The sequence below is a fragment of the Homo sapiens genome, chromosome 7, assembly GCF_000001405.40.
Source record: "Homo sapiens chromosome 7, GRCh38.p14 Primary Assembly".
Lineage (NCBI taxonomy): Eukaryota > Metazoa > Chordata > Mammalia > Primates > Hominidae > Homo > Homo sapiens.
This window is the reverse complement of record NC_000007.14, coordinates 88,596,300-88,619,164: the sequence shown is the minus strand read 5'-3', so window position 1 is coordinate 88,619,164 and position 22,865 is coordinate 88,596,300. Positions and strand designations below refer to the sequence as shown.

Sequence of the window (22,865 nt, the reverse complement as noted above, 5' to 3'; positions counted from 1 at the left end):
AAAACAATTCTGGCATAGCATTCTTATCGAAGTTACAATTCATCATAAAAAATACAGAAGATGTATTATCAAGAGGGAATACTAGGAGATACAAAGGTAGAAGATTTGGGATGAGTGGTACTTTTCAAGACTCTCCAGTTTGTCAAGGATAATATTCTCAGGATAGTGGAGAAGATATTCTACTTAGGCCTCAGATTCTGAAAGGTCACAGGAAGCCATAAGAAGCGACTCACAGGCTTCTAACACCATCAATTTATGGCCCTGAAATTACATAAAAATGACCTATTATGATGCTAAAATTATTTAGCAAGCCACTTCACCTGGATCTAATGCCTAAGCTCTATGTATAATTTTGCATTATGCCTCCAATGCCATGTTGCTATATTGTCAACAGGTTGTAAAGGAATGAAAATACATATTATTGGGTCCACATTATATGCAACATAACCATGTAATGATGGTCAATCTGTAGGAACTTAGGATCAGAAGGCACTACCACAGTGTGTCTATCGTTTGCAACCATAACACCTAAACACGTACAGAAGTAGATACTAGGAGCAGGGCAAGGGCCACAGATCCTCAGAGAAAGTTAACTTCCTTGAATTTTTCTTAGGTTGGTGTGAAGCAAAAAGCATTGAGATACTCTCTCATTTTTCCAGGATGAGAAAATACCAGCCCATGGTACAATGCAGCAAATTAGCCAATCAATTTATTAACTGTGGTTACAAGAGAAAAAACAATGGATGAAAAATTTCTCAGCCACAGTAGTATCTTTGCTACATCCAATGGCATCAAGTAATTTAAAGTGAAAGCATGCTAAAAGCAAGTCTTAAAAATCTTACCTCAAGGCTCAGATTGATACTTGGGTACTGCATGTTAACCATACTAGAAACAACCAAACAAATCTCCTATCGCTTTTAGCCATAGAGCTAAAGCTGCTAAAAGTCAAATGCCGATATTGATTCCATCAGTGGCTTAACTACAATATCAATTAAATTCACAACTCACTAATTATTTTATATGAAAGATATGATACCAATAGGAAATTAGGAAAATTCTGGTAATTGAAATAAAGATATCTAGGAGCATTCATATGATTTAGAGAATCCCAACCCTTCAAACTGCTCTGAAATGTTCCCATTATGCCTTTCTTGCTGTACAAATCTAATAATTTGCCCAATCCTGCCACTTATATCCCCAAAATTTCCCCAATTGGTGAAATGCAAAATTAGAGTAGAGAGTAAGTGCTACGCTCTGAAGAAGTTTCATGGATTTAAATTTTCTTATCTCTAAAACTGAAAATTTTAGATGGGTATTTTAAGAGTACCCAGTCATAAAGAGCAGAGTATGATTTGAGATCAGGCTTAATTCTTTACTACAGGTGAATACACGGAGATTTGGAATTCAACAGCTTTTAGACAGCTAACCATGATGAGTGTAGCAATTTGTTGGGTTAGTTGAAGCAAAACTAGATCAAAAGGTGACCCAAGACATATAATATTAAAAAATCAGAAAGTCATTAATCTGATATAAAAGAAAGAATTTGAAAACTATAGGAGAAAATAATACTAGACTGGATTTATTCCATACTTTTCATCCATCCATTTCCTCCCGATTTTTATTACCAGGGTTCAGACAATTCTTCACTCTACTTTTCAGTTAGGAGCAGACATGACGTAAGTCCTAGTTTCTTTGAAAGATGCATCTCTAGGCTGATGATTCAGATGAGTAAGCCTAGGCTAAAAATGTGATCCATCTTTTTGCTAGGGATGGAGTAAATTCAGTGTGGCTAAGATTGTATTGACTATTAGCCTCCAGAAACATTACACAGATCTTATGACCTCCATCTTCCAGATGACTCTGTTCAAATTCAAATCCCAGTGACAGCAAATCTGATTATTCATACATGGCTCTGGTGTGTACCCTAGAATTAATCAGCTATGGCAAGAAGCAAGAGCTATATCATAGTCACTGAGGCATCACTTTGAACATAAAGGGTCACCCGACTTTGTCTATTATATTATTTTTCCTTCCATTCTAGAAGAGCCAATTTCATATTATTTTTTACTTGGCTTCTCAACACATGTACACTTACATACACGTATTTGTGCACAAACACACACATACACATACACACAACGCACTGAAGACAGACTGGAACAATTTTCACAGTTACTATATATACTCTCAGTGTGATTATGATGGCATTTCCTTAATTAACTTATCCTACTTAAAAAATGCCACTACTTAATAAGATCTAATTATCCCTTGGCTCATACTCTTCCTCTCCATAAGCACACACAATTTCTAGTTTATATCCCCCAACTAACCATAATTATTTGCCCTTTGGAAATATTCAAATAATATCCACTTCACCTTCCCAATATAATAGCTCATATTAAAAAAATAAAGGGAGACAGTGTAGCGATTTGCTATTTGCCAATGATATTCATTCACAGTGTTGTGCTGGCAAATTTAATAACAGCGTTCTGGGAACGGAAGGTCATGATTTGTAGCATTTGCTGATTTCTATAAGCACTTCAATATGTCCAAGTTCAAACTACCAACGTAAAGTCACTAAACCATGGAGTTGGAAAAAGATGCCCACAATCGGCTCCATGAGTAGATATAAGCTGGCTCCTGCACACCTATGTAGTTGTATTAATCAGGAACTCTAGAAACTGGAGTTCCATGTCCTGTTGATTCTGTCCTTAGGCTTACTTAGTTCACTTTCATGTCACTCCTGCCTACAAAAATCTCTCCTTCTTACTGGTAGAATTCAGTGATCTTCTGTGATACCAGGAATTAGTGCAAGTATAGAGTCAGGATTCAATAGTCTTCCCAAAGTTTTTATATTTGTTTCCCTAGATATGTAATAAATTAACTTATTGAAGACAGACTGGAACAAGTTTCACAGTACTACACATACTTTTACTGTTATTATAACTGCATTTTCTTAAGCTTCCTTTTTCAAAAAGGAGAGCTGCTCAGTTCAGAAAATTGGTAAAAAAACAGGAGTCTCTGGCTGTGTCTCAGGCCTCTTAGTCATATCAAAAATTTGTTAGCAGTTTTTCTGCAAATCAAGTAGGAGCTTAATAACAGTCCATTTTATTCCTTTTGAACACATAATTATTGATCGAAACAGACCATGTTCTACCGTGTTCATATTGCACTGACCCTACTCACCTGCCATTAAGTAACCTTATGCTTATTTTGCCTCCACGTACCATCAATATAATGTAAGCTCTAAAAAGACAGAGATGTTGTATGTTTTCTTCCAAGAAGTTTCTGGCATCAAAAGGAAGGAGAGAAGAGAGAAAGGGAAAAAAGAAAGAGACAATGCTGAATAATTGATCAACTATGATAGATTCATAGAATCTTGGAGCTTGAAAGTGCCTGGTGTTAACTCATCCAGCAGCCTCATTTATAGATTAGGAAATGGAAGCCTGATTAAATCAAAATACTTTTCCATGGGTAGTTCATTTGTAAACTCCAAGTCAGAATTTAGGTTATATAAAGAACATAAACACCCTGATCCTCAGGAAAATATTTCAGTGATACTTAACACGGAGGTAATGAGAAAATCTGAAACAGGCCTGTTGAACCAGAAATACTTCTGCCCCCAAATTTTCCCCACCCACACACACCTTTTTGGGCCTTCTATACACACACATCTAGAAGAATGATTAAAGAAGAGGTGGTGGGAAGAACTTTTAAAAATATGCTAGAAAATAAAATTATTTAGCTCTCTCTGTATAGGAAAAAAAATTCTGGGTTTATTTTGTTTTCAATTCAGCAAACATCCATTAACAACCTATGTGCGATTCTCTGAGCCTAAAGCTGTGATATATATAAAGTGTGGTAAGATGTTGGTCCTGCCCTCCAGGAACTCATAATCTAGTTAGGAAGATAGATGAGTACATAAGTAACGATCATAAAAAGGCACTCTGCTTTTAGGAAAAGGTGTGAAATTGAGACAGAGAGTGGGAAATTGCCATGAGGGGTACAAAGATAAGACAAGATGGAGCAGGAGATAATCGATTTTTTTTCTTATGCATCATAGTTGTGTAAAAAAAAATCCCTTCTAATTAGAGTAGATAAAACACACCAAAACTCTTGAATTCTTGCTTTCTCCTTTATGAATCCCGGCCTTCTGAGTGAATCCTACCATGATGAAGTTAACAATGGAGTTTCTTTTACCAAAGACAGATGACCTCCCTCCACATGACCGCTAGTACATTCTATGAGGAAAGAGCATTCCAAACTGTCTGGGTTCTTTTGATAATTCACTGTCTGGAAGGTCAGAAACTATTCATAGAAGTAAGTAGATTCTACATGTTTGTCTGAAAGACAAAGTTCATTCTTTTCTTTCATTTCTCCTAAGTAATCTGACTTTTTATACCTCATAAATGGAAAATAAAAGAATCATCTGATTATACTCAGCAAGATTGTTTCTTTGAAACACTAAACCTCTACTAAAATTTCACTAATATATTAAAACATTGGATTTTGTTTGAATATTTTGATCTCTGGATATATAAATCTTTCCTTATCAAAAGGCTAAATTAAAGAAAAACAGAAAGTAAACAACTTTGATTGAATATCAGAAAAGATCCAATTCTCTCATCTCATCTGATCATGAAATAAATCATTATAGGTTATAACAACCAATTAAGCTTTCTTGGAATTTTAGGAAGCTTCTGTTCTAGGCCATAGTTCTGTAATGATACCCAGTAAATGAAGCTTTTGCTTTCCATAGTTAAAAGCTGCTTTTTTCCTAGAGAAGAAAATCGTGCCAATCAAATTTGAATTTTTCTAGAACAAGTAGATGATTTAGGAAAAGGCCAGTGCATATCATTTGTAGCACTTTAAGAAATTATGTTATTTCAGTAATTCTTTCAATATAACCTTAGAGGCACAGGCACCTGAAGATTCTAAACAACAACAAAAACCTGAATAAAAATAGTGACTGAATATGCCAAGTGAAGGATGGGTGAGTTATGGCTGACAAAGTTGACACCGTAGAATGAGTTAGATAAGTTGCATAATAATTCACTCAACGGTTCTGTGATCCAGGTAACCTAATTTATCATTCATAGAATGACGATGAAGAGAGAGAGAGAGAATTATTAACCAAGCACATACCTTGCAAGGGACTGGGTAACCTAAAAGTCTCTGATTTTAATATAATCTAGTAAAAAAGATATGTCAAAAAGATATTAACAAAGAAGCAGCTTTGTGGGCTGATGTGTTCAGACAAAACTTTAGCAGAAGACAAAAGATTGAGCTAATCTTTTGCTAGTGAAGCAAACGGAAAAGATGATAATATTACAGGTTGGAGAAAAATCTATCACACTGATATGGTTTGGGTCTGTGTCCCCACCCAAATCTCATGTTGAACTGTAATCCCCAATGCTGGAAGTGGCGCCTGGTGGGAGGTGATTGGCTCATGGGGTGATTTCTAATGGTTTAGCACCATTCCCCTAGTGCTGCTCTCATGATACAGTTTTCAGGAGATCTGTTGTTTTTTTTTCTTAAGTGTGCAGCACCTCCCCCAACCCTTCTTCCTGCTTTGGCCATATAAGATGTGCCGCTCCCCCTTCACCTTCCCTCATGATTGTAAGTTTCATGAGACCTCACCAGTCATGCCTCCTGTACAGTCCACAGAACCGTAAGCCAATTAAACCTCTTTTCTTTATAAATTACCCAGTCTCAGGTATTTTTTAACAGCAGTGTAAGAACGGACTAATACAAACATGTACATGAATTTAGAGTCAGATTCAAGTGTCTGTGCTAATGCCTACAAGATAGAGGAACCTAGTTATTTAACTGCAATGTAAAATAACAAAAGCTAATAAATGCTAAGTGCTAATTACCTGCCAATGATTGTTTAAAATATTTTTACATGCATGAATTCATATTATCTTCACAAAACCTGTGAAAATATTGGTCTAATTATCTCTTTTACAGATCCTGGAATTAAGACATAGAGATGTTAAGAAATTTGCCCAAATTCAAATACAGCTAGTAAGTGATACAGCAATGATTCAAACAAAGGTACTCAATAATGTAAGCTATTATTTATGCTTAAAATACATTAGAATAATAAACTAAACAGCTTTATAAAACACTGGATGAAAGAACTTTCCAAATAGCACAAACTTTGCAAACTCATCACATTCTTTTCTCTTTTTTTTTTTTTTGAGACGGAGTCTTGTTCTGTCACCCAGTCTGGAATGCAGTGGCATGATCTCGGCTCACTGTAACCTCCACCTCCCAGGTTCAACCGATTGTCCTGACTCAGCCTCCCAAGTAGCTGGGAGTACAGGTATGCACCACCATGCCCAGCTAATTTTTGTATTTTTAATAGAGACGGGGTTTCACTATGTTGGTCAGCCTGGTCTTGAACTCCTGACCTCAAGTGATCCACTCAGCTCAGCCTCCCAAAGTGTTGGGATTACAGGCATGAGCCACTGCACCTGGCCTCATCACATTTTTATTACAGGTTTTTCCCATTTTATTGACTCAGATTAGTGTAATATGTATCTCTTATATAATGACAATTCAAAGGCAGAACAGGTTACACAGAAATGGAAAGCAGCCTAAAATATTTGTTAACCAGTAGTTATTGCTCTACTCAATGTTACTAGATACAGTAAATTAAGCTAGGGCAATATTGCACTTCTGTGTTGAAATGATAAAAAATGTGAGTAATTTCATGAATCATTTATCAAGTGCAACTGAATAAATTACTAAGAATTCAACTAAAGTATAGGCCAGCACAAGTTAGGGAAAAATTAACAAATGCTTAGGAAAGAAAGGATTTAATATCATGTATATATATTTGTGGTGTGTGTACGTGTATAAATTCACAACAATCTGTATGCACATTATGGAATGTTTGCAAATTTTGATATTTTAAATATTTATAGCATATAGTGTTTTGTGTGTTTGCATTTGAAGTGCGATATTGTTATTTTCAACAAAATGAACTAATAAAAAGTAATGCAACGAAGCAACTCAATTACATAAAAATATGTACAAAATATTTATAAAACCAATGTTTTCTTAATCACTTGTGAACAAGGGTTCCAAAGGTAGCAGTCTGCTTTTTAATTTTCAGGGTTTATTACTTACAAAGATAAAATATGTCTCTTAGCTTAGGATACTTTTTCATATTTAAGGCAAAGTGTAATTTCCTAGAAATGTCTATCATTTTACTATAGAAAATAGATTATATCTTTAATCATGGTGGTCTAAATAGGATTTCAGTATCTCCCTATAACTTTCAGGATAAAATTTAGAATCTTCATCTATAACGAGACCCCTCCAGGATCTGGTCCTGGCACTAACTTTCTCAGTGTCAGCTCCACCACTCTTCCACAGTCACTTGTTAGAGTTCCTGCTTTGATGTAATATTTATAATTCCAAGTGTCATATTCATGAACCATGGCCCTGGCACATGCTCTTCTGTCATTTTTGAAAAGTCCATCCTTCCCTTATTTATAATCTACCTAAACCATACTCATTCCCTTACCAGTGTTACCTTCCTCCAGAGACTTTCCTCATCAACCAAGTATAATTCATCCATGGTTCTCAGAGACCTATATATCATAGCACTTATACAGTGTTGTGCCATTGTAGTTGATTATTTTTCTTTGTAGAACTAAGCTATCTAAGGGCAAATATGTCTTATTTGACTTTGCCTTATAGGGCACTTGGTTGTTGCAGAATGACTTATGGCCAATTTCAATAATTCATTGTCTGGTTTAGTTCTTCATAGTCAATCTATGGGGTTCAAATTAAGGCATGTTTTCACAGTGGATGTCCATTTACTCGGTATGTGTATAAAAAGGAAAAGACAAATTGTACCACAGCAATTTCTCAATCTTTGCTCCCTCAGCATAATTCCCTTTCACCTTCTCTCATTCCCTGGTCCCAGGTTAGAAGGTGCTAATGAGTCTGAGAACACTCTCTGTGGGAACAACGTGACTTAGAGCAGATGTGATGTCAATTGCGTATGCTTGGTGCAGGACTCACCTTTCTAATCCAAAGAGAAAATACACGGCTGATGTTTAAACAAAGCAAGGATTAGGGCTGCCTACCCCTGTGCAGCTGAAAATCCATGTATAACTTTTGACTCCCTGTAAACTTAACTGCTAATAGCCTACCATTGACTCAAAGCCTTATTGATGATATAAAGTCATTTAAAACATATTATGTACATTATATGTATTACCTACTGTATTCCTACAATAAAGTAAGCTAGAGAAAAGAAAATGTTAGGAAAATCATAAAGGTCCCTGGCATGAAAGGACTGACAGACAAGCAGAGTGCACTGGTCCAGTGGGAGGAGGTGGTGTCGGGTCCTGTTGGTAGAGAATTGTACAGAATAGCTGCAACAATGGGGAGGTGCCTGTGGTGTGTAGTTGCAGGAGCCTGTGAGAATGGAGGGGCTTCTGCCAGGTGGACCTCAGGCATCCAGCAGGGCAGCACAGGTGCGTGGGCTGGGTTGGTTTCTGGTGCCCTTGAACCTGCTGGTTTCCTGGAGTCAACTGCAGCCATGGTCTTTAGAGGAGTGCTCCCATGTATCCTGCAGTACACTGTGGGGAGCACTCAAAATGCCAATGGCTTCTCTACCTGCTTGTGTCTAGTGAAACTAGTGGCCAATATTTTACGGATACTCTTCTGGTTCAGAAGTCATTTTGACTCACCTCTCCTGTGGCAGAGCATAATCATGATCTTGACCATGTTGCTAATGTTGAAACTCTGCACTGAAGTCTGTGTGGCAAATAAGCTGAACAAAACTCGCTTCTTTGCAGACTTCTGGCCCCACCACTTACAGCACTGGAGCCAGAAGTTTAGGGGACTATAGGCAGTGCATCTTGGCCTTCATAGCATGGCAGAGTACGTCAGGTACCTGTCTAAGACTTGGCCCTGCTGGGCATGTTGGGTGCCACAGTTCTGAGTCTGTTGCAGCTGTTGTTCTGACACTTTTCACCCCACCCCATATTCTGCTCCCCCTTAACAGGAGATCATACCGTGCTTAGCAGCCTTATGCTGACCCATCGGCCCCTAGGCCCTAGAGTTCTACGTGCTTTGGAGTGGCTCCCACAGATGGTGTCTTCCCTCCTGCTGGCCAGAGGAGCCGCTTTTCATGCAGATGTTGACATTCTCAGCGCTAAAGCTCTATGACTTTAGTGTTTGTTGCTTACTGTGGCTAGTGGGAAAATCTTCAAAGCTGTTTACTCCCCTGAGTTTTCCTCAGAGAAATTCTTGAGTATTTGAGTGAGGATCTTATTCAGCTCTTTGGCCTGTAAGATGCTTTGAAAATTTTTATATTTTTTAAATGAAGTGAGGTATCTGTAGTGGCCATTTCCTCTAAGGAAAAATGTCACCAATTGCAGGAATGGTGACTGGTGAATGCATGTATCCCCATGTGGTGACTTTGAATCAGTAAGAAAAGAAAAAAGAAAAGATAAAATGCTATAAGAAAGTGAAAATATATTTACTGTTGGTTAACTGGAAGTGTATCATCATAAAGATCTTCACCCTCATCATCTTCATTTTGAGTAGGTTGAGGAGGGAAAGAGGAGGGATTCATCTTGCTGTCTCAGGGGTGGCAGAGATGGAAAAAAATCCACATATAAGTAGACTCTTGCAGCACAAATTTGTGTTGTTAAAGGGTAAATTGTAGATATTTTATGAGATATCACCATAATGGAATAAACGTAATGCTAAAGGCAGACAACTTTTACAACAATCCCTCAGAACTCTTATACAGTCATGCACTGTATAAGGATGTTTCAGTGAACAACAGACCACATATATAACAGTGGTTCCAGGAGATTAAAATGGAGCTGAAAAGTTCTTATTGCCTAGTGATATCATGGACATGATAAAGTCTTAGCGCAATGCATTACTCATGTGTTTGTGGGGATGCTGGCATAAACAAACCTACTGCACTGCCAGTCAAAGAAAAGTAACACACATATAATTATGTACAGTACATAATACTCAATAATAAATTACTATGTTACTGGTTTATGCATTTATTATGCTGTATTTTTATCTTATTTTAGAATGTACTCATTTTACTTATTAAAAAAAAAGTTAACTGTAAAACAGTCTCAGGAAGGTCCTTCTATTCCAAAAGAAGGCATTGTTGTGATAGGAGATGACAGCTCCATCCATGTTATTTCTCCCAAAGACCATTCAGTGACACAGGATGTAAAGGTGGAAGACAGTGAAATTGATGATACTGACCCTAGGTAGGCCTGGGCTAATGTGTGTGTTTTAGTTTTAACATAAAAGTTTTAAAAGTAAAAAAAAAAGATAAGACAAAAATTTTACAAGTAGAAAAAAGCTTATAGAATAAGGATCAAAGAAAGAAAACACTTTTGTAGAGCTGTACAGTATGTTTCTGTTTTAATATGTTATTATGAAAGAGTCAAAAAGTTAAAAAAATAAAAATTTCTGAAGTTAAATGTTACAGTAAGCCAAGGTTAATTTATTATTGAAGAAAGAAAAATAATTTTTGCAAATTTAGTATAGCCTAAGTGTACAGTGTTTATCAAGTCTACAGTAGTATACAGCAATGCCCTAGGCCCTCATTCAGTCACCACTCACTTAATGACTCACCCAGAGCAATTTCTAGTCCTGTAAGCTCCTGGTAAGTGCCCTATATAGGTATGCCATTTTTTTTAACCCTTTATAATAGTGTTTTTGTGGGGTTTTTTTTTGTTTTTTTTTTTTTTGAGACGGAGTCTTGCTCACCCAGGCTGGAGTGCAGTGGCACGATCTCGGCTCACTGCAAGCTCTGCCTCTCAGGCTCTCGCCATTCTCTTGCCTCAACCTCCCGAGTAGCTGGGACTACAGGCGTCCGCCACCATGTCTGGCTAATTTTTTTGTATTTTTAGTAGAGACGGGGTTTTACCATGTTAGCCAAGATGGTCTTGATCTCCTGACCTCGTGATCTGCCCAACTTGGCCTCCCAAAGTGCTGGGATTACAGGGGTGAGCCACCGCGCTTGGCCTATAATGGTATTTTTATTGTACCTTTTCTATGTTTAGATATGTTTACATACATAAATACTTGCCATTGTGTTACAGTTGTGCACAGTATTCAGTAGAGTAACCTTCTGTACTGGTTTGTAGCCTAGGAGCAACAAGGTATACCATCTAGCCTGGATGTGTAGTAGGCTGTACTATAATGTTCACATAATGACAAAATAGCCTAATGGTGCATTTTTCAGAATGTATCCCTGTTGTTAAGCAATACACGACTGTACATCAAAGTATAGTTGCTTTCTCAACCAGTGTCTCAATCCAGTATTGTTACCTCAGAAATAGCAGTTGAAATGGTTACTGGTTTTTGATGTATTTCCTCCTAAGACCTGTTGGTTCAACAACCTTATCAATGACTTCAATAGACAGATGTAATAAATGAGAAATTCTTCCAGCCGGGGTCTTTTGAACTAGTATAAAATTATCTTTAGTTCCTAAACACATTTTGAGTCAAAATATGCTTGAAATTTAAATATTAATATGGTTTATTCTATCTTTTCCAAGACAGATAAAATTTCAAAAAGAGATTCCTTACAAGGACTATTATCAACTTTTCTTTCTAATCCCCAAACTCAGATAATCACAAGCAGAATATAAAATAACATTATTTTCTCTACATATATTAGACACTGTTATTTTTCTAGACAATTTCTTCAGCTGTGAGATATCTTCTGAAAAGTAATATCAATTTGGCATCTTTGTCGTTGTTTTTGATATTTAATACCACACTATCAGAAAATAATTGTTAAAACAAATCTTACTAAAAAACACCCCAGCTCCTTGTCAGTAATGTTGATATGATTAGTATTAAATAATGCCCCCCAAAACAGAGCAAGAGTAAATTGCTTAAAAGTGTGAGTGATAAACTCAATACTTATTTCTTGAATAAAACCTAACTTAACTTACCAGATAGATTATAAATGAATTGCACTATAATTCCAAATCCAATATACCTCATCTTATATATTAGCTTTTAAAAGTTTTGTGATTAAATTCAACCATACTTTTTAAAAGAAAATAAGGGAAGACTTGTTTAAATAATTTTTAATGACCACTTTTGTAAAGCAAATAACTTGTCCCTAATTTGTTTCCTTCACATACTTTTTATCCTCAGTTTTTACATTTATGATTATCCACCCTCTTCATTCACTACTAGGAGATAAGTAAACCTTCAGTCAAAATAATTTCTATTTGTCTTGTATAATTAGGTCAAGGATGGAAAAGGTCATAAAGTTTTGGGAGATGGCAAAGAAAATTTATGTTAACATGAGCATTTTTTAGCACTTCAGGACACAGGAAGGGAATATATGATATTTGGGTTGTGGATCAGGATATTTTTTTCGTTTGAATAGGTCAACATGCATCCTTGAAAGAGTTATAACTTCTGGGATTTGAATGGCTCTCAAATGCCAGGATATTTTCATCTGTTTCATACTTTATATATATTATAATACTTTTCCTTTTACATGATTTCTACAAGATAAAATTCTGTTATATTGTCAATCATTTTAAATTCCAATCAGTGTTATTTAGTCTTAGATTCTCACATGAAATTTAGACTAAAATTAATTCTTGCTTATCAAAAATTTGTTTTTCAGGAATGCCAAAGGCCATATATAATGCCTTAAGCAGTTTACTTTCAAAATAAGAGAAGGAAGCACCACACTAATTATACAAAAGCCAACAAGTCACATTGCTCAAGAGTGAATATTAATAGTGGCTACATTAGGGACATAAAGCTATGGGTGATATTTATTTTTTCCACTTTCTGATTTCTCTAATTTTTACCAACAAAAGTAGAAAAATATGTGTTTTAAGCAATAATCTCTTGCATGTAGATGGTAAAAAGCAAATGTAGAATCAGTGTATAACTTGTATAAGCAATATGATAGAGATATTTGGAAGTCGCAATAACAATACTGGCACAGATCATGATCATTATTTCTATTGTCACTATATACATGAAAACACTAGAAACCATGTGGCAGATACTTGTACTAAGAAACCATCTCATGGTAGAAAAACAACAATAATAAAAAAGGAGAATATTCAAGTGAGAAGTGTCCATTGGAAATGCATAAAGATGATAATTTTGTGGCCAAAATACCATGTCTCAACAGTCAGAGATTCATTGGATTTGTTACTGCCACTCCATTCATTTTTATTAATATGGACTATAAACAGTTAATACAACAATCATGATAATAATTAAAAATAGTGCAAATTACCAATTCCTCACACTCTGGTTTCCGTGGTTTTACATAAGTGTAAATAGCTAAAGATTTTTAAAGATGGTACTAACGATGAAAAGTATTATTTTTAAGGGAAGTCCATGAGTCTTGTTTTTTGAACAGAAAAATTCAAATTGTTGCCTTTCAACCATGAGATCAGAAGAAAATGTTAAGCAGAAAAATTATTTTAAATTATTAACTCTAGAGAGAACATAACCCACAAGGGTATAATGAATAGGTTTTCAAAAGAGAAGAGCAAGATGATAACAATTGTCCAAGACAGAAATTAAATATTTTATTTAGAAAAGAAAAAGGATAAAGTATCCCCACATTGTTTATGCATATACAATGAAATATCATGATGGAATTTATTTTGCTCAACATTTTTCAAATGAAATGGAAAATAATAGCATTAGTTAGTTTTGCAACAAATACAGATTTTCAAGGGGTCTGAGTTGTGGTTCTATTCCACAAAAATGTATGTCAAACTAGTGCTGTCAAAGCTATTTTGTCACCTTTTATGTTCAAAATTAAACTCTTCAGGCACAACTAAACCCAACTGGCACATATAGAAAATGATTGAGTCTAGCTTCAGTTGATTTCTGGATACACAGAGGGATGAAACTATGTGAGGAAACAACATATAGTGTGTTGCCAGATAGACATAATAAAGCTAATTATCACCTTCCAATAAAAATGAGTAGCACCTGGAAACTTCGTATGTTGACTCATTTATGTATGGCAACCACAATCAAATATTTCATATCTTCAGATCCCACTTAGAATTATGTAGACTTAAATACATTGTAGGTTTCATTCATGTTGTCAGAAATTTATTAGAAAATAAATGAAGTGTGATAATAGTTTTAATGTGAATTTGACAGGTATCAAAGAGAAAATATCATTAAATAAATGAATTAAACATTTAAATTGTAGGATAATTCATTTTAGAGCTCAAGGAAACTTTAGAAATCACTGGTGCTGATCTTCCTATTTTCCCACTGAGAAAACTAAGGACCACAGAGGTGAATTTACTTTGTCTACGTCACATAATATATTTAGATCATCTAGATACTGTATACCAAGGGAGTAATAATAATAAAAAAAAAACCGTATTAGTCCATTTTCACACTCCTATAAAACACTGCCAAAGACAGGGTAATTTATAAAGAAAAGAGGTTTAAGTGACTCACAATTCTGCATGGCTGGGGAGGCCTCAGAAAACTTGTGATCATGGTAGAAGGGGAGGCAGGCACAAATTACATGGTGGCATGCAAGAGAGAGTGTGAGTGTGAAGGAGGAATTGTCAAACACTTATAAAACCATCAAATCTCATGAGAACTCGCTCCTGTCACGAGAATACCGTAGGGGAAACCACCCCCATGATACAATCACTTCCCACCAGGTCCCTTCCTTGACACGTGGCGATTACAATTTGAGATGAGATTTCACTGGGGACACAGAGCCAAACCATATCACCAACCATTGAGAGGGTCCCTTCAGATATATCACATTTGTTAAAGCTTACTGTACTGAGCACTTTACATGCGTTGGCTCATTTGGTTTTCAAAGAAGCTCTACAAGTTATGCATTATTATCTCCATTTGATGGGTGAGAAAATGGAGGTTCAAGCTATAAATAATTTTCTCTATAGTAGTGGTGCAGACAAGATTTGATCTCACACGTCTGACTGAAAATTTCAGTCTTTCCACAACACCTTACTGACTGCTATAGAAGTTTACGTTCTCTTTTTTGAAATTGAAGTCACATTTATAAGCACTTACTTGCTGGCAGCAACCCCATACCACAGATAATGATTATAAAATTTAGGGTGTCCTAACAGTAAATCTTAAATGAAAGAACCTCTTTCATTAACATGACCCTAAAACAAGGAAAATTCACATGACTCCAAAACAAGACACTTCTAATCTGAGTGCAGGCTTCTTCATGTTAGATGCTTCTCCCTTTTATTAGGAGGACTGAAGAGAATTTGTTGCAGGGGGTGTATCCACTGTTTTAAAATATTAGTTCCCACCAATAGACACAACTACCAGAGAAGGCCTTGACTTGGTCCAAATTCAGATTGCTTTTATGGGGTCAGCAACCTCTCAGGAATCTACATACATTGATTTGTGTAAGAGGAAATGGAACCAGTGAGGAATATTTATGCATGGATTCTGTGGCCGTAAAAGACAGACACAGGAAAATGAAGAAGCCTTCACAGCTCAGGCCCCATGGGGTGAGTCCAAAGCCTCCTGAGGAAAAGGTGTTTCTAAACTACTTCTAATGCAGTGACACCCCACCTACAAGAAACACAGCATGATTTTTGCCCCTCATGGGTCTCCAGGTTAGGAATTGCAGGAGACAGTAACTGGACAGGGTGGCAATTGGCTATCAGAGCAACAGCAAAGCTTGAAGAGCTTCGGCAGGCTGAGATTTATCCACAGGCATATGTAAGACATCTTAGCAACATCCAGAAATACAAAGGTGACCTTTTCAGAGGACTGAAGTCTGTTGTGAAAAGGTAAAAGAAACAATGCTCAGTGAAATGTGAGCAGAAATGCTAAAATAAACTTATTTATATCCACAGGCTGCTGAGGGAATCAAATTACTTTATAGGATTCTGATCTGCCAAGTAATACTATAAAATATAGGTTTTATGGCCAGAGATTATTAAAGCTGAAATGGTGTTTACATGTTATCTAGCCTACTCCTTTTTATTTCAGATGAAGAAGTTGAGGTTTAGAGACATCATTTCCTGCTCAAGGTTATACAACTAGACAGTGATAGGCCCAGAGCTTGTAATCACTCCTATCTCCTGAAACATGCTACAGCTTTTTCTCACTGCTGGTCTGTTGCACTATTTAAAATAGCTTTGCATTTAGCATTCTAGGGGTTCTTCAAATTTCTGAGAAGTGAGAATTTTTTTTAATATAACGTGGGCTTTGCAGTTTTAGAAATACTAGTTATTATAAATACCAAATGTTTTCCTGAACTAGCTCTTTGTAAAAGCTTTGATATAAAAAGTTCTTTCTAAAATGACTCATTTATGATGCCAGAAAGGGCACCTGAGGATAATTTATCTGTTCTATGCCATTCATCTAATACCCTTATATTTTAAGTGCTGATATGGAGTTTTGATTACAAAACAGAAAATGTTGAAATAGAATGCATCATTTACCTAAAAATATGTCCAGTTAAATCTTGCTGCTGCCTCTGGTCTTTTTTATTCTTTTAGAATGAAATAGTTTAAAGTTATAAACAAGAATGTACACACTGACTGGGAAGTTAATGATAATTTTAACTTGTGTCTTATGCTAATGTGTAGTTAAATATTGAATTGAGAAGGAAATGGTCATAGTCTACCATGTATACACAGAAGCTCATACTTCTACATTGTATAATTATTGGAAACCATCTTTCTTGTAAACATCAGAATAAGAGTAAGAGTTTTGAGTTCTAACTTTAGCTCTCTTTCTAATTGCTTTGTTTTCCTGTGTGATTTAATTGCTGTCTTCACTCTTTGGTTTTCAGAATAGTATGTGGCATTCCTAATCCTACAAAATACAGTGCTACAGATATATTCACAAAGACAATAAATTAGTTATTGATGTCCAATATAATATGGGCTGATATTGTTTCATACAGATTATGAGTTGTAACCAGGGGATAGTGGCTGTAGTTTTCCTGCCATATAAATTTACTATATAGTTCAAAATAATAAAATAATATATGTGAAAGATTGGTTTATATTTTAAATTTCCATAGATATATATGGTATTATTATTATTATTATTAGATTATGAGCTACTGAGTAAATGTTCCCATATAGCTGATAAGGCTACTGTGCTTGCAATTCCTTCTGTCAGTGTGCTGATGGCTTACAATTGAATAGCAGTACTCGGAGGTTGAGTTAGAAAGACCTATTATTTCTATTTCATATTCAAAGCATAAGTGCTTCTTGATTTACAATGGGGTTTCGTCCCAATAAGTCCATTGTAAATAAAAAATACTGTAAGTTGAAAATGCACCTTATCCTGGCAACAGAGCAAACCATCCTCTATTTAGGATGGTTTGACTTACTATTTTTTCAATTTTATGGATGTGAATGCAATAACATTCAGTAGAAACAATAACCCCATTATAAGTCCTAAGGGGGTCCTTGACTTTTGATGGAGTTACATTCCAATAAACCTATTGTAAAGTTGAAAAATCCTAAGTCAAACCACGGTAAGTCAGAGACCATCTGTACTCTACGGGTTCCTGATAACTTGGCTACATTTTGTCTTGGCTGACATACACTATTCTATTCTCCTCATCAAATCAACTCTGTGGTCACTTCTTCCTCTGTTAATCCAAATCCTAAAATTCTATGTGAGCTTTGACTTTCAAAAGCCCTGTTTAGGGTAAATAATTGATTATTTTATCCCAAGACTACTTAAGAACCGAAGCAAAGACAAAGGAAGGCTCCTCTGAAATCAGTGTCCTACATTTCTATTTACCGAGAGAACACCACCACAACACAAAATAGAGGGATATAAGGAGGGAGAGGAAGGCGGCAGACAGATGATCTTTTAATTTTACTCATTGGCTTGAAGGAGAGACACCCACATTCCATCTCCCACCATACACACACACACATACAACCTACAATGCGGCAAGTCCAAACAAATGTCTCCCCAGGATGCCTAGACAAGTGACTAGAGAAGTTAAGAACTCACCTCACAGAATGCTAAGCTGGCTGTAGTCTGTATCTCTGTTTTATTTTGAGGTTGCTCTTTCCTCAATTGGACATCAGCTAATGCATAAAGTAACAATCATCAAATGTCATTCTATAGACACACAATGTGACTTATTCATCTATCTATGCGGATGTCCCACCCATTTTCTCAGTCTTCTAAATCTTCTGTCTTGACAGATGGTTTTTATTATGTACTAAAAGTAATTTTCTATCTGTCAGTATGTCAGTACCTTATTCATGCTTAACATTTTTTAGCCAACCCCTGCTCTGTCATCATTCGGGAAGTTTAGAAGACAGCATGTACAAATCACTCCCTATTCTGCATATATCTTTCCCTTATGTTTTCTACACGTATCAGCTTGTTCGTTATCTTTAGCACAGCCCCAATGAGCCAGCCTAATTGCCTGAATTAATTCTACTTCTTCACTTATTTTTAATGAAACCTCGCTAATTACAATCTTCAAAAAAGCAAATGAGAGATGAGAAATATACACCATGTAGGAAGTACATGTAGGAAGTGGCAAAAATTAAATTCTCTAAAAGGGATAATGTAACACTAATAGAGCTAAGGAACAGCTTGAATTCACTCATCTGAACTCTCATAACTCTTTTAATCTGCCACTCTTCTGTTATCTACTGTGTTCTTTAAGCTTCAGTTGCTTGTGTGCTCACTTTGTCTCATTTATCAGCCTCATGCGCAGTGGATACACTTTTATCATCCTAGGTAAGCCCACATAGCAGCAGAAAAGCATCATATATTGTAATTATCTGATAATTAGGAATCTAACCTTTTGCACTTAGAGTGACAGCATGGATAAACAGCTCCTTATGTTGGACCTACAATAAGATTTCATATAAAGTTGTCCAGTGAGCTCTTTATTAAACAAAAATAAAATGCTCCTTATTAAATAAATTAAAATAAAGAAAAAACTCAGCCTAGCCATTATGGTTCCATTTTGAAATGACTATTTTATAAATTGCCACCTGTGAGGTTTGGTGAATGATACCTCAGTGCCATGAATTAATTTGCATTCAACAAGTGAATAATTTTACCCCCTTCCAATTCATACTATCAGCAGCAATACAATATCCAAGGGGGGAACAGCATAAAACATGTTTGGCTGTTGTAATGAATTTGATTACAACAACAAATTAAGCCTATTTTCATTTTGATATTATAAAAAATGCAGCAGGAGGTTTGACTAGATAACTTGCTTTTATTTTATTAAATTCCTTATGTTACAGTCAGCTGGATTGAGTGCTCCCTGGGAGTGAATTAAGAACATTTGAGCCTTGTCTTTACATTCAAAACAGTGTGGCTTCAAGTCAGGCTTTTACAATCCACCTTACTTGGTTTGCCAGAGGGAGATTAAGGAGAGCTTCCTAGTTCCTTAGCTGTTTATTGCCTTCTTTATGCGGAGACTTTTCCTCCTACCTTCAGGCCGTGAAATATCATGCTGTGCCGTTAGCCAAATGGAATACTGAAGTAAATACAATGATTGTCCACATCTCAGATCACTTTTAGAGGGAGCTAAAGCCCTGTTTCTTTTTGGTCAACAGGCATTCAAGGCTGTTTTGCTTCACCTCAACAACACTAATCAGTTAAATGTTTTCTTAGTGGCCTAAAAGAGTTAGTAATTTTGGTTATAAAAGCAAAAGACCCTCTAAAATATTAGAATCCTTATTCATAATGGCAGGCTAGTACATAAAGGAAAAAAAGCACCTAAATAAACCTGAGTCGACTTAAATTATCCTTAAATAGTTCACACTACTACCATCAAACACATCCCCATCCTCAGCCAAGTCTAATGGAAGCTCGAATGTGTGGCTTTCCAATGGCCCTGCCACTTTCCCTTCTCAGCCTCCTGTTTTCCTTACATTGCGGTGTTCAAACCTATTTTTGTAGTTGGCTCATTACATTTTATTTCATAACAGTTGGCACATTCTGCCTGACTGCCGCCATGTTATGAAGTCAGCCACACATTATCCTATCATCAATTGCTAGGAACGTGAATCTCTTTGTCTATTGCTAAGGATTTGATTTATTCTAGTATGATTTGCTTTCCTGCAGCAACCACAGAACAGTATTCATTGCATCTGAGAAGGAAAAACAGAGGCAGGGGCACCTACTAACCCAAAAAGAACACTGGTGGGTCTAATGGGGCAGTTTTCTTTTCCAAGACAGTAACAGCATTTTCCTCAATGGTTTCCACTCAATGCATGCCTTCTGGATTTTTCACAGGGCCAGATTCTGCACTGAAGAAAAACACTTTGTCCTGATCAAGAACAATCAGTTTTAAAAGTCACTGGTTAACCTGATTGTAGAGAAAAGGCCCTTGGTACCTAGTAAGATAGTCCATAAATGTTTATTGAAGTAAGCACAGAAAAAGCAATCCCAACTTATTGTAGTATATTCTACATGTTTGAAGGTGGGAAGAGTTCTACTAGAAAAAAATGAGACTGTTGACTTTGACACCCATCAAAAATGATTATGCACTGATGGGACATTTTGGGTATATTATAAATTGTGCTGTGTAGGAATATTGACGGACATCATACATTTTCACATTACACGATAAAGTAGAATGTTCCCTATAATTGCTAATCACTGCTTTTCATATCCCCTCCGCTTTCTTGTTCTTCTTTCTCTATGATAACCACTTGACAGAATGTGAGTTCAGGCTAAATCCAACTGTCTGGCTAATCCATTCCTGCATCTGAGCATCAGAGAATGGCAGAAGGAAAGCACTCAACCCTCCTGACCGAGTTTATCTAATATTTTTAAGCACAAATCTCAAGTCAATTCTCAGCATGTGTCAAGTAATTTGGTTCTCCCACAAACCAAAATGCTATTTCAGAACCTCTCTCAATTCCAACTGCCAATATCCACGCCCCCTCCTCCCTCTCAGTTAAAGATAATCTTCTCACAGCCTAATCTGCCTGCTGGCCTTTCTGCATGTATATGTAAATGTTCTCCTTTCTCTCCCATTCTAATAAAACACACTGTCCCTTATCCTGTGTAAATCCAAATACTCTCCTTATACCCTGGCTTCTTTCCTTCTTCATTCAATGACTTTGCTGCTGCATCTAAGCCCTTCACCCAGGTACATCTTTCTGTCTCTCTCCCCTTCCTCCCTCCCTATCCTTGTCTCCATCTCTATATTACCCAATCCCATGGCTTAAGTATATGTGTTCAATGAAAACTCAATATTTGTATACTAAGCAATGATTTATCTCCTGAACTATAGATTTCTGTAAATAAAATAACAGTTGCATTAGTTGCACATGTTCTATATACAATAGCCAACTTATATGTATTATAACCAAAATTAATTATTTATTCTCTCCTCAGACATCCTCCTCATGACTATTCTCCTTCTCAAGGAATGGTACTATCATCGTTCCTATGGCTCACACCAAAAAACTTAGAGTCATTCTTTAAAAAAAAAAATAGAATCAGGGGGTACGTAGGCAGGTTTGTTATATGGATATACTGTGTAGTGGTGAGGTATGGGCTTTTGGTGTACCCATCACTTAATTAGTAAACAGTGTACCCAATAGATAATTTTTCTTTGAGACAGAGTCTCGCTTTGTCGCCCAGGTTTAGAGTGCAGTGGCGCGATCTCAGCTCACTGCAAGCTCCGCCTCCCAGGTTCACACCATTCTCCAGCCTCAGGCTCCCAAGTAGCTGGGACTACAGGCGCCCGCCACCACGCCCGGGTAATTTTTTTTTGTATTTTTAGTAGAGACAGGGTTTCACCGTGTTAGCCAGGATGGTCTCAATCTTGACCTCGTGATCCACCCACCTTGGCCTCCCAAAGTGCTGGGATTACAAGTGTGACCCACCGCGCCCGGCCCCCAGTAGATAATTTTTCAACCCTTACTCTGCTTCTGCCCTCCCCTTTGGAGTCTGCAGTGTGTGTCATTCCCCTCTGTATGTACACGTGTACCCATTTTTTATCTCCCACTTATAAATGAGCATTTGATTTCTGTTTCTGAGTTATCTCACATAAAATAATGGCTTCCAGCTCCATCTGTGTTGCTGCAAAATACATGATTTCATTCTTTTTTATGACTCAGTAGTATTACATAATGTATATATATCATCATTTCTTTATCCAATCATCCATTGATGGACACCTAGGTTGATTCTGTGACTTTGCTTTTGAGAATAGTGCTGTGATAAACATACAATGCAGTTGTACTTTTGATATAAAGATTTCTTTTCCCTTGGTTATATACCCAGAAGTGGGGTTGCTGGTTCAAATGGCAGTTTTAGTTTCAATTTTTTGAGAAATTTTTGTACTGTTTTCCAAGAGGTTGTACTAATTTACTCTGCCACTAGCAGTGTATAAGCATTCCCTTTTCTTCACATTCTCACCAGCACTGGTCGTTTTTTGACTTTTTAATAAAAGCCATTCTGATTGGTTTGAGATGGCATCTCATTGTGATTTCAATGTGCATTTCTCTTATGATTACTGATGTTGAACATTTTTCCATATGTTTTTGGGCTTCTTGTATGTCTTCTTTTGAGAAGTGTTTGTTCACGTTATTTGCCCACTTTTTAATGGGGTTATTTTTGTTGGTGTTGAGTTGTTTGAGTTCCCTATAGATTCTGCATATTAGCCCTTTGTCAGATAACATACATTGCAAGTATCTTCTCCCATTCTGTAGGTTGTCTCTTTACTGTGTTGATAGTTTCTTTTGTTGTGCAGAAGTTTTTAGCTTAATTAAGTCCCATTTGTCTTTTTTTGTTTTTGGTGCATTTGCTTTTGAGGTCTTAGTCATAAATTCTTTGCATAGGCCAATGTTCAGAAGAGGTTTTTC

The 22,865-nt window shown here is 36.3% G+C and overlaps 1 pseudogene, besides 1 other annotated feature; it reads left to right on the top strand.

The window, feature by feature from the left end:
• SLC66A2P1 (SLC66A2 pseudogene 1) lies at positions 8,496-8,924 on the top strand (annotated as a pseudogene).
• Positions 19,218-19,758: an enhancer, noted in NCBI's record as "NANOG hESC enhancer chr7:88228721-88229261 (GRCh37/hg19 assembly coordinates)". NCBI's record gives its function as "activates a minimal SCP1, AML or CMV promoter by ChIP-STARR-seq in naive H9 embryonic stem cells {active_cell/tissue: H9 hESC(naive)}" and the evidence as "EXISTENCE:reporter gene assay evidence [ECO:0000049][PMID:30033119]".